This window comes from Homo sapiens, chromosome 9 (assembly GCF_000001405.40).
Source record: "Homo sapiens chromosome 9, GRCh38.p14 Primary Assembly".
Classification (NCBI taxonomy): Eukaryota; Metazoa; Chordata; class Mammalia; order Primates; family Hominidae; genus Homo; species Homo sapiens.
In genome coordinates this window covers 35,072,692-35,087,821 of record NC_000009.12, presented here as the reverse complement: position 1 = coordinate 35,087,821, position 15,130 = coordinate 35,072,692, and the positions used below count along the sequence as shown (strand labels likewise).

At 48.8% G+C, this 15,130-nt stretch overlaps 1 protein-coding gene across 1 annotated transcript, besides 6 other annotated features; it reads left to right on the top strand.

Annotated features, from left to right (window-relative positions):
* Nucleotides 6,428-7,034: an enhancer, noted in NCBI's record as "H3K4me1 hESC enhancer chr9:35080785-35081391 (GRCh37/hg19 assembly coordinates)". NCBI's record gives its function as "activates a minimal SCP1, AML or CMV promoter by ChIP-STARR-seq in primed H9 embryonic stem cells {active_cell/tissue: H9 hESC(primed)}" and the evidence as "EXISTENCE:reporter gene assay evidence [ECO:0000049][PMID:30033119]".
* FANCG (FA complementation group G) lies at nucleotides 7,880-13,983 on the top strand. Its single transcript, NM_004629.2, has 14 exons — nucleotides 7,880-8,381; nucleotides 8,581-8,671; nucleotides 9,086-9,217; nucleotides 9,479-9,681; nucleotides 10,423-10,558; nucleotides 10,721-10,851; nucleotides 10,952-11,098; nucleotides 11,239-11,390; nucleotides 11,794-11,860; nucleotides 12,068-12,357; nucleotides 12,497-12,543; nucleotides 12,740-12,895; nucleotides 13,328-13,451; nucleotides 13,606-13,983. Exons 1-14 carry the CDS (start codon nucleotides 8,298-8,300, stop codon nucleotides 13,712-13,714), a joined length of 1,869 nt encoding a protein of 622 aa, NP_004620.1. The 5' UTR covers nucleotides 7,880-8,297; the 3' UTR covers nucleotides 13,715-13,983.
* Nucleotides 8,010-8,175: a silencer, noted in NCBI's record as "fragment chr9:35079644-35079809 (GRCh37/hg19 assembly coordinates)". NCBI's record gives its function as "represses an EF-1alpha promoter that drives an FKBP-Casp9 reporter gene in an ReSE screen in K562 erythroleukemia cells {active_cell/tissue: K562}" and the evidence as "EXISTENCE:reporter gene assay evidence [ECO:0000049][PMID:32094911]".
* Nucleotides 8,251-8,858: an enhancer, noted in NCBI's record as "NANOG-H3K27ac-H3K4me1 hESC enhancer chr9:35078961-35079568 (GRCh37/hg19 assembly coordinates)". NCBI's record gives its function as "activates a minimal SCP1, AML or CMV promoter by ChIP-STARR-seq in primed H9 embryonic stem cells {active_cell/tissue: H9 hESC(primed)}" and the evidence as "EXISTENCE:reporter gene assay evidence [ECO:0000049][PMID:30033119]".
* Nucleotides 14,630-14,679: an enhancer, noted in NCBI's record as "active region_28319". NCBI's record gives its function as "activates an Ori minimal core promoter by ATAC-STARR-seq in GM12878 lymphoblastoid cells {active_cell/tissue: GM12878}" and the evidence as "EXISTENCE:reporter gene assay evidence [ECO:0000049][PMID:35858748]".
* Nucleotides 14,700-14,839: an enhancer, noted in NCBI's record as "active region_28318". NCBI's record gives its function as "activates an Ori minimal core promoter by ATAC-STARR-seq in GM12878 lymphoblastoid cells {active_cell/tissue: GM12878}" and the evidence as "EXISTENCE:reporter gene assay evidence [ECO:0000049][PMID:35858748]".
* Nucleotides 15,040-15,089: an enhancer, noted in NCBI's record as "active region_28317". NCBI's record gives its function as "activates an Ori minimal core promoter by ATAC-STARR-seq in GM12878 lymphoblastoid cells {active_cell/tissue: GM12878}" and the evidence as "EXISTENCE:reporter gene assay evidence [ECO:0000049][PMID:35858748]".

Below are 15,130 nucleotides of genomic sequence, written 5' to 3'. Positions count from 1 at the left end.
TTTGCTCTATTGTCCAGGCTGGAGGGCAGTGGTGCAATCATAGCTCCCTGTAGTTTCAAACTCCTGGGCTCAAGTGATCCATCTCAGCCTCCTCAGTATCTGGGACCATGCCTGGCTAATTTTTAAATTTCTGTACAGACAGAGTCTTGCTACATTGCCCAGGCTGTTCGTGAACTCCTGGCCTCAAGCGATCCTTCCACCTTGGCCTCTCAAAGCACTAGGATTACAGGTGTGAGCCACAGCACCTGGCTAAGTTCAGATTATTAATGGCCAGTGGTCCCTAGTGTTACAGATGCCAAATAGTAAGATGATGAAAAGTATGGTTCAGCTGGGTGTGGTGCCTCATGCCTGTAATCTCAGCACTTTGGGGAGCCAAGGCGGGTGGATCACCTGAGGTCAGGAGTTTGAGACCAGCCTGGCCAACATGGCAAAACCCCATCTCTACTAAAAATACAAAAATTAGCCAGGTGTGGTGGTGTGCACCTGTAATTCCGGCTACTCAGGAGGCTGAGGCAGGAGAATCGCTTGAACCTGGGAGGCAGAGGTTACAGTGAGCCAAGATCACGCTACTGCACTCCAGCCTGGGAGACAGAGCCAGACTCTCTCTCAAAAAAAAAAAAAAAAAAAAAGGGATAGGTTGTTAACCATGGTAGAAAGAGGTTTAATAATGCAAGGGGGTGAAGTTGGCCCCAGCTGGCCTGTAAGATGAATTAGAAAAACGCTTCTCCCCAAGTCTGGTGGACACAACTCCCAAGCATAGTTCGGTGAGCAAATGGTGTCTTTTTGAGAAAGGGGAAAAAAACCAAAACAAAAACCTTTCCTCCATCCCTAGCACCCATGGAAGGATTTTAGGCCCTAGTTCCTCCACTTCTCAGCCAGGTACCCTGCACTTTTTGCAGTAGCCTCCTTGCCTGGAGCCTAAGGCTAATTTGCTGATCTGCCAACCACTGTCTATTCTTTCTCCTGGTGTATCTATAAGATTCTATTAGATAAAGACATTAGTACATTGATTTACGCTATTAAAAATTATTTCTAGCCAGGCACTGTGGCATGTCCCTATAGTCCCAGCTACTTGGGAGGCAGAGGTGGGAGGATCACTTGAGGATAGCAAGACTCCGTCTCTACAAAAATAAAAAAATTAGCCAGGCATGGTCCCAGCTATGTAGAGGCTGAGGTGGATCACTTGAGCCCAGGAGTTAGAGGCTGTAGTGCACAATGAATGCACCTGTGAATAGCCACTGCACTCCAGCCTGGGCAACATAGATCCTCTCTCTTTTAAAAAGAAAAATTATCTTATCCCTCCCTTTTCCTTGAAATCAGAGTCCATTCCACACTAACTCAATGATTCTTTTTTTTTTTCCTTTAATTTTTTGTAGAGGTGGGGGTCTTGCTGTCTTGCCTAGGCTGGTCTTGAACTCCTGGCCTCAAGCCATCCTCCTGCCTCGACCTCCTCAAGTGTTGGGATTGCAGGTGTGAGCCATTGCACCCAGCCCTGATTCTTTTTTAAAAAAGCTTTATTGAAATGCAATTTACCATAAAATTTACCCATGTAAGGTGTAAGATTTAATGGTTTTTGTGTATTTACAGAATTGTACAACCATCACCAGAATCAATTTTAGAACATTTTCACCAACCCCAAAAGAAAATCTACTGTTTAGATATCACCCTCCAATCCTCCCCAACCCCTGGCTAGCACTAATCTGCTGTTTCTCTATATATTTGCCCATTTTGGATATTTCACAGAAATGGGATCATAATAATATGTGGTCTTTTGTGACTGGCATCTTCCACTTAGTATAATGTTTTCCGGTTTCATCTATATAGCAGCACACAGCAGTACTTCATTCTTTTTCTTTTTTAAAATTGAAGTAAAATTCATATAAAATTCACCATTTTAAAGTGTATAATTTAGTGGCCGTTAGTACATTCACAACGTTGTACAATTATCATCATTATCAATTCCAGAATGTTTTCATTACCCCAAAAAGAAACCCTGTACCCTTAAGCAGTCATTCCTTCTCTTCTCCCCCTTAACTCCTGGTACCACTAATTTGTTTTCTGTCTCTATAGATTTGCCTGTTCTGGACATTTCATATAAATGGGCTCATACAGTAGTGCCTTTTTCTGTCTTATCTTCCTTTACTCAGCCTAATGTTTTCAGAGTTCATCTATGTTGTAGCATGTATTGGTACTTCATTCCTCTTTATGGCCAAATAATACTCTATTGCATGGATATACCACATTTTGTTTATCCATTCATCCATTGATAGCCATTTGGATTTACACATTTTGGTTATTATGTAATGCTGCTATAAACATTTGTGTATAAGTTTTTGTTTGGACATATGTTTTAATTTCTCTTGAGTGTATACCTAGCTGTACACTGAGCAACTGCTGGGTCATAAGGTAACTCTGTTTAATCTTTTAAGGAACTGCCAGTTTGTTTTCCAAAGTTGCTGTATCGTTTTACAGTCTTACCAGAAGTATATATGGGTAACGATTTCTCCACATCCATGTCAACACTTGTTGTCATCTGTCTTTGATTCTAACCATCCTAGTGGGTGTGAAGTAATATCTCATTGTGGTTTTGGTGTGCATTTCCTTAATGATTAATGATGCTGAGCTGAGCATCTTTTCTTGTGCTTACTGGAGAAATGTCCCTTCAGATTCTTTGACTATTTTTAATTGGATTATTGTTATTATTATTATTTTTGGACCAGGGTCTTGCTCTGTCACCCAGGCTATAATGCAGTGGCGTGATCATGGCTCACTGAAGCCACAGCTTCCTGGGTTCAAGCAGTCCTCCTGTCTCAGCTTCCTGAGTAACTGGGACTACAGGTGTGCACCACCATGGCCGACTAATTTTTTATTTTATTGTAGAGACAGGGCCCCACTATGTTGCCTAGGCTGGTCTTGAACTCCTGGGCTCAGGCAATCCTCCTGCTTCAGCCTCCCAAAGTGCTGGGATTACAGGTGTAAGCCACTGTGCCTGGCTAGCATTCTTTTTACATGCTAGATACAGGTCCCTGAACAGATATATGATATGATATGATATATGATTTACAAATGATATATGACTTACAAATATTTTCTCCACTCTGTGGGTTGTCTTTTCATTTTCTTGATAATATCCTTTAATGCACAAACATTCTTTTTTTTTTTTTTTTTTTTGAGACGGAGTCTTGCTCTGTCGCCAGGCTGGAGTACAGTGGCACTATCTCGGCTCACTGCAACCTCCGCCTCCTGGGTTCAAGTGATTCTCCTGCCTCAGCCTCCTGAGTAGCTGGGACTACAGGCGTGCATCACCACGCCCAGCTAATTTTTGTATTTTTAGTAGAGACGGGGTTTCACCATGTTGGACAGGATGGTCTCAATCTCTTGACCTTATGATCCGCCCGCCTTGGCCTCCCAAAGTGCTGGGATTACAGGCATGAGCCACCGCGCCTGGCCTACACAAAAATTCTTAATTTTGAGAAAGTCCAGTTCATCCTGTTTTTTTCTTTCATTGCTTATGCTTTTGGTGTCATATGAAATAAATTATTGCAAAATGCCACAACTTAATTTTAGAACATTTCTATCATCCCCCCAAAATTCCCTACATTGACTCCCTAATCCTACCCCAGGCCAATGATCTGTTTTCGGTCTTTTATTTATTTATTTATTTATTTATTTATTTATTTATTTATTTATTTAGAGATGGAGTTTCACTCTGTTGCCCAGGCCGGAGTGCAGTGGCGTGATCTCTGCTCACTGCAGCCTCTGCCTCCTGGGTTCAAGTGGTTCTCCTGCCTCAGCCTCCCAAGTAGCTGGGACTATAGGCATGTGCCACCACGTCCGGCGAGATGGGGTTTCACTATGTTAGCCAGGCTGGTCTCCTGCCCTCTGGTGATCCGCCCACCTCAGTCCCCCAAAGTGCTGGGATTACAGGCATGAGCCTGGCCTGTTTTCAATCTTTTTTTTTTTTTTTTTTTTTTTTTTGAGACAGTCTTGCTCTGTCGCCCAGGCTGGAGTGCAGTGGCGCGATCTCGGCTCACTGCAACCTCAGCCTCCTGGGTTCAAGGGATTCTACTGCCTCGGCCTCCCGAGTAGCTGGGATTACAGGTGTGCACCACGACGCCTGGCTAATTTTTGTATTTTTAGTAGAGACGGGGTTTCACCATGTTGGCCAGGATGGTCTCAATCTCTTGACCTCGTGATCCGCCCACCTTGGCCTCCCAAAGAGCTAGGATTACAGGCATGAGCCACTGTACCCAGCCTGTTTTCAATCTTTATAAGTTTGTAATCCTAGCACTTTGGAAGGCCGAGGCCAGTGGATTGCCTGAGCTCAGGAGTTCGAGACCAGCCTGGGCAACATGGTGAAACCCCGTCTCTACTAAAATACAAAAAAGTTAGCTGGGCGTGGTGGTGTGCACCTGTAATCCCAGTTACTCGGGAGGCTGAGGTAGGAGAATTGCTTGAACCCAGGAGGCGGAGGTTGCAGTGAGCCGAGATTGCGCCACTGCACTCCAGCCCGGGCAACAGAGCGAGACTCCGTCTCAAAAAAAAAAAAGTTTGTTGGTGCACTCTTTTGCCCCTTTTCATTGCTAAATCATTGGCTTTGACCAACTGATGGACATTTTGATTGTTTTCAGTTTTTAGCTATTATGAACATTTTTAGCTACTATGAGTATTTGCAACAAATCTCAGTGTGGACGTATGTTTTCATTTCTCTTGGGAGTATTCTTTGGAGTGGAATTGCTGAGTCTTATGGTAAATTTGTGATTGACTTTTTTTTCTTTTTTTTTTTTTGAGATGGAGTCTTGCTCTGTCACCCAGGCTGGAGTGCAGTGGCGGGGTCTTGGCTCACTGCAAGCTCCACTTCCTGGGTTCACGCCATTCTCCTGCCTCAGCCTCTTGAGTAGCTGGGACTACAGGTGCCCGCCACCACGCCTGGCTAATTTTTTGTATTTTTAGTAGAGACGGGGTTTCACTGTGTTAGCCAGGATGGTCTCGATCTACTGACATCGTGATTCACCTGCCTTGGCCTCCCAAAGTGCTGGGATTACAGGAATAAGCCACTGCGCCCGGCCTATGATTAACTTTTTAAGAAACTGCCAAACTTTTCTGAAGTGAGTGTACTATTTTATATTCCCACCAGCAGTGTATGAGGGTTCCTCATACACATCCTCACCAACACTTGGTATAATCTGTTTTTATTGTAGTCATTTTATGTATGTATGTGTATAGTGTTTTTATTTTTATTTATTTATTTTTGAGACAGAGTCTCACTCTGTCACCCAGGCTGGAGTGCAGTGGCATGGTCTCAGCTCACTGCAACCTCCGTTTCCCAGGTTCAAGTGATTGTCATGCCTCAGCCTCCTGAGTAGCTGGGATTACAGGTGTCTGCCACCATGCCCAGCTAATTTTTGTATTTGCAGTAGAGACAGGGTTTTGCCCTGTTGGCTTGGCTGGTCTCAAACTCCTGGCCTCAAGTGATCCACCTGCCTCAGCCTCCCAAAGTGCTGGGATTAAAGGTGTGAGCCACCACGCCCGGCTGTGTGAAGCGTTTTTTTATTTTTTGAGACGAAGTCTCGCTGTGTCACCTAGGCTAGAGTTCAGTGGCAGGATCTCGGCTCACTGCAACCTCCACCTTCCGGGTTCAAGCCATTCTCCCACCTCAGCTTCCCAGGTAGCTGGGATTACAGGCATGCACCACCATGCCTGCCTAATTTTTGTATTTTTAGTAGAGACGAGGTTTCACCAAGTTGGCCATGCTGGTCTTGAACTCCTGACCTCAAGTGATCCATCCACCTCAGCCTCCCAAAGTGCTGGGATTACAGGCATAACATGGCCCGGCCCTGGCCATGTTTTTAACTGTGTTTCTCTAATAGCTAATAATGCCGAGCATCTTTTTATGTGTTTCTTAGCCATTAGTAGATCTTTTTTGGTAAAATGTCTTTTTTTTTTTTTTTGGTCCATCTTAAAATTGTTTTTTGTTTTGTTTTGAGACAGGGTCTCACTTTGTTGCCCACGCTGGAGTGCAGTGGCTCAATCATGGCTCACTGCAGCTTCGACATCCCTGAGCTCAGGTGATCCTCCCACCTAAGTTTCCCGAGTAGATGGGACTACAGGTGTGTGCCACCATGCCCAGCTAATTTTTGTATTTTTTTTGTAGAGGTGGGGTTTTGCTATGTTGCCCAGGCAGGTCTTAAACTTCTGAGGCTCAAATGATCCTCCCACCTCAGCCTCCCAAAGTGCTGGGATAACAGGCATGAACCACCACACCCAGCTAAGATTGTTTTTAAAAATCTTTTTCTTGAGTTTTGGGAGTTTTTATGTGTTAGGGATACCAGTCCCTTATGAGGTATATAATTAGCAAGTAGTTTCTCCCACTCTGTGACTGTGACCTTTCTTTTTTTGAGGCAGGGTCTCACTCTGTTACTCAGGCTGGAGGGCAGTGGTGTGATCATGGCTCACTGCAACCTGGAACTCCTAGGCTCAAGGGCTCCTCCCACCTCAGCCTCCCAAGTAGCTGGGTCTACAGGTGTGTTATTGTGCCAGGGTTAATGTTTTAAATTTTTTGTAGAGATAATGTCTCTACAAAAGACACCATCTTTGTTGCCTAGGCTGGTCTTGAACTCCTGGCTTCAGGGAATCCTCCAGCCTCAGCCTCCCAAAGTGCTGGGATTACAGCATGAGCCACATCCAGCCTATGATTTTTCTTCTTTTCTTTTCTTTTCTTTTCTTTTTTTTTTGAGATGGAGTCTCGCTGTTGCGCAGGCTGGAGTGCAGTGGGGCGATCTCGGCTCACTGCAGGCTCTGGCCCGCGGGGTTCACGCCTTTCTCCTGCCTCAGCCTCCCGAGTAGCTGGGACTACAGGCGCCCGCCACATCGCCCGGCTAATTTTTTGTATTTTTAGTAGAGACGGGGTTTCACCGTGTTAGCCATGATGGTCTCGATCTCCTGACCTCGTGATCCGCCCGCCTCGGTCTCCCAAAGTGCTGGGATCACAGGCGTGAGCCACGGCGCCCGGCCCCAGCGTATGACTTCTTAATGATGTCTTTGTAGTACAAGAGTTTTTAATTTTAATAAAGTTAACTTTTTTTTAAATTGTACAAGCTTTTAGTGCTGTGTCTAACAACTTGTTGCCAAACCCAAGGTCATAAAGCTGTTCTCTTACGTTTTCTTTTTTTTTTTTTTTTGAGACGGAGTCTCACTCTGTCACCCAGGCTGGAGTGCAATGGCACGATGTCGGCTCACTGCAACCTCCGCCACCCGGGTTCAAGCGATTCTTCCGCCTCAGCCTCCGGGGTAGCTGGGATTACAGGCGCACGACACCACGCCCTGCTAATTTTTGTATTTTTGTAGAGAAGGTTTCACCATGTTAGTTAGGCTGCTTTACGTTTTCTTTTAGAAGTTTTATATTTTTGGCTCTTATATTTAGTTTGTGATCCATTGAGTTGATTTTATGTACGTATGTATGGTCGCGTTCTTTTCTTTCCTGTCTTTTTTTTTTTTTTTTTTTGCATATGGATATTCAATTCTCCTAGCTCCATTTAATTTGAAATGATTGGGCAGGTACTTTTGAGCAGTGCAAGTACAGAGCGGCACTGCCAGCAGACTACACGCGGTAGAAAGCCGACCTTGGTGAGCGTGTTGGTGCTCGACAGTGAGCAGAGAAAGGATGGACGATTACGGAGCGCCCTCGTCTCCAGTTACCGCTTTCTGGAAACACCATCCGCCGGGGCGGAGCTGTTCCGCCCCGGTGCGGTACTACGACTCCCAGCATGCACCTCGCAGTCGGCCCTCGGTGGAAGCGGGAACCCAGGAGGACCTGGGGGTGTGGCAGCGAGGAAGGGCCGAGCCACGGACTGTGGGGCCGAAACTCGCTCCCGCCCACCCTTTCTCGAGGCTGTGGCCTCCGCGAGAGCCGAGCGGGCCGCACCGCCGGCCGTGCGACTGCCCCAGTCAGACACGACCCCGGCTTCTAGCCCGCCTAAGCCTGTTTGGGGTTGCTGACTCGTTTCCTCCCCGAGTTTCCCGCGGGAACTAACTCTTCAAGAGGACCAACCGCAGCCCAGAGCTTCGCAGACCCGGCCAACCAGAGGCGAGGTTGAGAGCCCGGCGGGCCGCGGGGAGAGAGCGTCCCATCTGTCCTGGAAAGCCTGGGCGGGTGGATTGGGACCCCGAGAGAAGCAGGGGAGCTCGGCGGGGTGCAGAAGTGCCCAGGCCCCTCCCCGCTGGGGTTGGGAGCTTGGGCAGGCCAGCTTCACCCTTCCTAAGTCCGCTTCTGGTCTCCGGGCCCAGCCTCGGCCACCATGTCCCGCCAGACCACCTCTGTGGGCTCCAGCTGCCTGGACCTGTGGAGGGAAAAGAATGACCGGCTCGTTCGACAGGCCAAGGTAACACGGTTGCTGGCACCCTCGGTTTGCAGCCTCAAGATCCCTGAAAGCGGGTTTGCAGTGGATTTACCCCAACCGATGGGGAGGGACTGAGCTTGACCAAAGAGCCAGAAATGACTGGAGAATGCATCCCTTGCCACTGCTGCAAGGGGAGAAAAAAGGATTGATCCTCAGTGACAACCCCTCCCTCATGTGGCAGGTGGCTCAGAACTCCGGTCTGACTCTGAGGCGACAGCAGTTGGCTCAGGATGCACTGGAAGGGCTCAGAGGGCTCCTCCATAGTCTGCAAGGTAGGCGGGTCCTCCCCAGGATGGTCAGTTCCCCTCTTCCATAGCCAGAGAAACATCCGCTCCTGCGTTTTTGGGATCGATATAATTACTCGGGGCAGGGAGTCCTGTTTAAGGCACAGAGGAGACTGGAGTGGAATCATCTTTGTACAGGCAAATCCCTCTCTTCCTTACACACTCACAGAGTGGCATTTGAAAAATGGTTTCCAAGATGGTCTGATCTGGATAACTTTTTTGCCCTTTCCAGACTCTCTGTCCAAAGGTTGGGTTCTTTTTTTAAATCCTTAGCTAATTGGCTGGAGGGTGGGTTCTTTATTGTAGCTGTTTTGGTTGGAGTGGGGTGATCTCTGAGTTGGGATTTTATTTGGAGGATCTTCCATGGGGGAGCAGTCTGTAAGACCAACATTGTTGCTCCAGGGCTCCCTGCAGCTGTTCCTGTTCTTCCCTTGGAGCTGACTGTCACCTGCAACTTCATTATCCTGAGGGCAAGCTTGGCCCAGGGTTTCACAGAGGATCAGGCCCAGGATATCCAGCGGAGCCTAGAGAGAGGTGAGGGCCAGAGATTGTCCCTGATTCCCCTGCCATCTTCAGTCTGGGTTTAAGTTATTGCAGGGAGATGGGAGGATAAACAACATCTGTCACCTCCATGGAGAGAGGTGCCCTTCTCTGTGCTCTTCAGACCAGGTTGAGGTATTATTATTGTGACCTTTGGGGTCCTGCAGGAGAGGAAAGCCAGAGTGTGTGGGGAGATGGAGGATGAGGTGCTACTTCAGCTGTGTGTGTGTCTATGTGTGTGTGTATACTCTACAGTGCTGGAGACACAGGAGCAGCAGGGGCCCAGGTTGGAACAGGGGCTCAGGGAGCTGTGGGACTCTGTCCTTCGTGCTTCCTGCCTTCTGCCGGAGCTGCTGTCTGCCCTGCACCGCCTGGTTGGCCTGCAGGCTGCCCTCTGGTTGAGTGCTGACCGTCTTGGGGACCTGGCCTTGTTACTAGAGACCCTGAATGGCAGCCAGGTAATAGGGAAAGTGACCTGAAGCTGAGGGTCTCCTCCTTCCTTCCTCCTCCTTTCTCTCCAGCTGCAGTAGCATCATCATGTACTGGACAGGCGGCTGGGTTGGTGGTCGGAAAACCTGGATTCTCTCTGGGACTCTTGGGTGACCTTGCCCTGGTTGGTCTCTCATTGTGGGGATTCTCTTAGGAGTGTTTTTTAAAAATTGGACAGGCATGGTGGCTCATACCTGTAATCTCAGCACTTTGGGAGGCTGAGGTAGGAGGATCACTTGAACCCAAGAGGTGGAGGCAACAGTGAGTTGTGAGCTATGATCACGCCACTGCACTCCAGCCCTGCAGCCTGGGTGACAGAGGGAGACCCTGTCTCAAAAAAAAAAAAAATTTTTTTTTGGATAGGGATAGGGCTCTTGTGATCTTGCTCAAGTCAGCTCTCAGCCTTAGTCTCCTTATTAGTAACTCAAATATGGTCCTTGCCCTGAGTGAGGAGGCACGCTGGAATAGATCATCACTGCCCCAGGTTTTTCTTCCTTTTTTTTAATTCTTGCCTCATAGCTATCTATCTCTTAGAATTGGGGGAAACTACAGGCATTATGCATAGCTTCTTGCTTTGTAAGGGTAGCTGAGGCCTGTGTCCTCAAGGATCAAGAGGACCCTTGAGCTCAAGGTCTAGCCAGGATAGATGGAGATAGGAGAAGACGAGGAGGTTGTAGGCTTGGAGCTTCTGGTTGTCCTTCTTTCCCCAGAGTGGAGCCTCTAAGGATCTGCTGTTACTTCTGAAAACTTGGAGTCCCCCAGCTGAGGAATTAGATGCTCCATTGACCCTGCAGGATGCCCAGGGATTGAAGGATGTCCTCCTGACAGCATTTGCCTACCGCCAAGGTCAGCTAGCAACCTGACTCATCTCTTCTACCTTTAAGTGGTCCTCCAGACTCATGCCCTCTCTCTTGTCCCATTCAGTTCCATGGGCTTCTTAGACCCTTGTTCCCCATCATGACCCCTGCTCTATAGCCCTCTCCAAGCTCACACCCTGACTGTCCTCAGGTCTCCAGGAGCTGATCACAGGGAACCCAGACAAGGCACTAAGCAGCCTTCATGAAGCGGCCTCAGGCCTGTGTCCACGGCCTGTGTTGGTCCAGGTGTACACAGCACTGGGGTCCTGTCACCGTAAGATGGTAAAGACAGTCCTAGGGTGGATTGGGGAAACCACAAGCATTATGTATAGCTTTTTGCTTTGTAAGGGTAGCTGAGGCCCGTGTCCTCCTATCCCTTTAGGGAAATCCACAGAGAGCACTGTTGTACTTGGTTGCAGCCCTGAAAGAGGGATCAGCCTGGGGTCCTCCACTTCTGGAGGCCTCTAGGCTCTATCAGCAACTGGGGGACACAACAGCAGAGCTGGAGAGTCTGGAGCTGCTAGTTGAGGTAGGGAACTGCCAGGTGAAGATGTGGGGTGGAGGATTCCTGAGGTGCTTGTGATGGGGTGACTTGACTAGTCAAGATCCAAGTATAAGGAAGTATGGCTCCCAAAGATTATAGATACAATTTTTTTCTTTCTCTTTTAGGCCTTGAATGTCCCATGCAGTTCCAAAGCCCCGCAGTTTCTCATTGAGGTAGAATTACTACTGCCACCACCTGACCTAGCCTCACCCCTTCATTGTGGCACTCAGAGCCAGACCAAGCACATACTAGCAAGCAGGTGCCTACAGACGGGGAGGTGAGGTTCCCCTTGCTCACCTGAGCTTCTCTTCCCACTTCTGATGCCTCCCCTGGGGTGTGACTCTGCTTTTGTTCTTGTGACTTGGGGGATGAATGAGGCAGTGGCAGGACATAGGTCGCCACTCCTCAGCCTCTTACCTTGCTTCTAGACCTGAACTGAGGACTCTTCTCTAAGACATTAACCTTCTCTATCTTTGACACTCTGAAGTCTCTTCCCCAGTCCATTCTGTAACTGGGGTAGATCCATACTGAGCCAAAATTGGAGCCCTAAGACCTTCCCTCCCTTTCTCCTCCTCAGGGCCCATGAACATCCATCTGTTAGCTAAGAGAGAACATTCTCAGGACCCTTGCAGGTTCCCTGCTAGGGCCTAGGGTGAGGCTTATGGGCTTTTACTCCTCAGGGCAGGAGACGCTGCAGAGCATTACTTGGACCTGCTGGCCCTGTTGCTGGATAGCTCGGAGCCAAGGGTGGGTGTGTCTTCAAGCTTCTCTGCAATGGGGTAGACGGGTTGGTGTCCCCTTTGAAATACAGCAAGACTGCAATTTTTTGTTTTTTCCTCTATTCTGTCTGTCCAGTCTGGGGGCCCAGGACTCTGCATGGTACCAGAGCCTGGTGAAGAGGTTGGGGATGGTGGCTCATGCCTTTCAAGACACTGCTTCTTCTTCCCACTCCAGTTCTCCCCACCCCCCTCCCCTCCAGGGCCCTGTATGCCTGAGGTGTTTTTGGAGGCAGCGGTAGCACTGATCCAGGCAGGCAGAGCCCAAGATGCCTTGACTCTATGTGAGGAGTTGCTCAGCCGCACATCATCTCTGCTACCCAAGATGTCCCGGCTGTGGGAAGATGCCAGAAAAGGAACCAAGGAACTGCCATACTGCCCACTCTGGGTCTCTGCCACCCACCTGCTTCAGGGCCAGGCCTGGGTTCAACTGGGTGCCCAAAAAGTGGCAATTAGTGAATTTAGCAGGTGAGCCCGGGGTCCTAGAGGGGGTGTGGAGGGATGATTTTCTGATTGGGACCTGAGTTGGTGAGCTCCATGTTCACCTACTTACCCTAGAGTTTCTGAAATTGATTCCTCTTCACCCCTGTTCTGTGTCCTACTTCAGGTGCCTCGAGCTGCTCTTCCGGGCCACACCTGAGGAAAAAGAACAAGGTGATCTAAACTTTCAGTTTTCCTCTTACCTCCTGGAAGTGGTAGTGGTGGAAGTGGGTTCCCTTTAATGTGTCCCAGCCCACCAGGAGACTTAAGAGAAAGGGACTGTGGACACAAGAAGAAATAGAGGAGGATTTGGGGTTTTGGTGACTGTGAGGCTGGGAAGACACTTCTTGACTTTGGGAGTGGTCCCCAGGGGCAGCTTTCAACTGTGAGCAGGGATGTAAGTCAGATGCGGCACTGCAGCAGCTTCGGGCAGCCGCCCTAATTAGTCGTGGACTGGAATGGGTAGCCAGCGGCCAGGATACCAAAGCCTTACAGGACTTCCTCCTCAGTGTGCAGATGTGCCCAGGTATGTATACTTGCATGACGTCGGCTATGCATAGATGTGCAAGGACAGAGAGGCCCATGGGAAATACTTGGGCGTAAGTGTAAGAGTGGTGTTCTCAGACAGGAGGGGTGATTGGGGTTGTGCTATATATACCTAGGGATATATCCAGGTGTTCAAATATACACAGTGTGTATGCAGGGCTCCCAAGAGTTCCCTGGTTTCCCCGATATCCTCAGACACAAAGACCATGACTCTGCTGTTGTGGGTTGCACAGGAGTAGGGGGCAGATGATGGACACTGGGATGGGAATGGTTGTGAATGATCTGCCCCCGCTTCCATATGTGAGTGTAGGCAAGATACTTCCTCTCTCTAGGCCTCAGTTTCCCTTTTTATAAAACAATGCCTAAGACTATGTCAAGTTCTAAGACTCTGTACTCTGGGCTGGGGCTACAGGTAATCGAGACACTTACTTTCACCTGCTTCAGACTCTGAAGAGGCTAGATCGGAGGGATGAGGCCACTGCACTCTGGTGGAGGCTGGAGGCCCAAACTAAGGGGTCACATGAAGATGCTCTGTGGTGAGGCTCAGGCCTGCTGGCTTGGGGCTGAGGGGCAGTTGGTGTCCTAGAGTCCTTGGACCTATTGTGGGTGGTGAACACTGAAAGCGGGGGTATGGCTGCCCAGCTTTCTGCCAATCTTTCACCCTTAGGCATCATCCTTCTTTCTCTCCAGGTCTCTCCCCCTGTACCTAGAAAGCTATTTGAGCTGGATCCGTCCCTCTGATCGTGACGCCTTCCTTGAAGAATTTCGGACATCTCTGCCAAAGTCTTGTGACCTGTAGCTGCCACGTTTTGAAGAGCTTGAGCTGGGTCCCCAGTGGGCTGTCTCTCTGTGGGGAGGGCTTTCTGCTTCACCATCATTAGGAATGTGACCATTCCTATATAATTCCTGGACTGGTGAGATTGGTGGTAGGCCTGTGAAATTTGCCCTAGTTACTACCATTCTCGTTTTGGAGGAAACAATCTCTGCCACCACCAAGTCATTGACTTTGCTCGAGGCACCTTTTTTCCTGTTTCTCCTTTTCTGTTGTCGAGTAAAATTTCATATTTATCTCGTCTGCCTACTACATATACTTGCGTGGGAAGGCTTGTGACCGTCTAGTTGAGTGCTAGTTGTCTATGATGCCCTTTCCTGACATCGTCTACCTTATGAACTTGAAGTCTGGGTATGAGGAAAGGGCTACAGGAATCCTCACTTTGGAGGCAGTGGCTTTAGTCCTTCACATTGCCTGAATGCAGAGCCCCAAAGCCCAGGACAGTGACAATGAGTGGAGTTGGGTCTGAAGGGTGGTCTAGATAGGCCTCTCAGGACAAGGGCAGGTACCTGTTACTTAGAGACAGGCAGGTTTCTCTCAGAGTAACTCTTCACTCCCTTCCTAATTCCAAATTCTAGAAATTCGACTCGTCTTAGTCAAATGTGTCTGTGTGGGTACAGGGTGAAAGGTGAATTGAGTCAGCATATCACCAACAGCTGCCTGTTGACTACTAACAGGGACCCCTGTTATTTGGGGCCCAAGGATTTTCAAGTCCCAGCATATGCAGTTTTCTTGCTAATTTGGGTTCTACTGAATTGGCTGTGTGTTCTGTGGTTGCCCTTTGACTTCTCTGGATTTGAGTGCCTTATTATAAGGTATTAATATTAATGACGGGAGGAAGAAAGGCACAAGCGCTGAGAAACTGCAAAGGCTGTGGGATTGGGGTTACCAGAGGGTGCAGTGACAATGGGGTAGGAGTGGGGTGCTAGTCAGAAAGTTCAGAGTAGGGGTGGTTGGAGGCAGCGTTGAGAAGGAGCAAGAAGTGTCAGGGTGGTGATGGCGTCTTAGAAGATCTCCAGGTTTTGGGAGAAGATGGGTGTATGGGTTACCACAATAGGACTAGACTAATACAAGGGTTCAGTCTATTGTGCCACGTTCTTCCAGGAGGATAAACTCCGGAGCCAATGAACTGGAGCCAAGTGGGAGAGTCCGCCTCTAAGGGATTAAAGGGTCTCCTTTCACTAATCGATCTCGCCCTATTCCTTTCGTTGATTGGCTGAGAATTCCAATCCGTCGAGGAAGCGTAGCGTTGCGGCCAATTGACGTGGCGTTACTAGGCGTGTCGCATCACTGAGGCGGGAGCCAGGCCGCAAGCGAATTTCCTGATTGGCTGTGATCTGCGGGTTGCTGGGGAGAGGCGCGGAGAGGCGGGCGAGAGTCCGC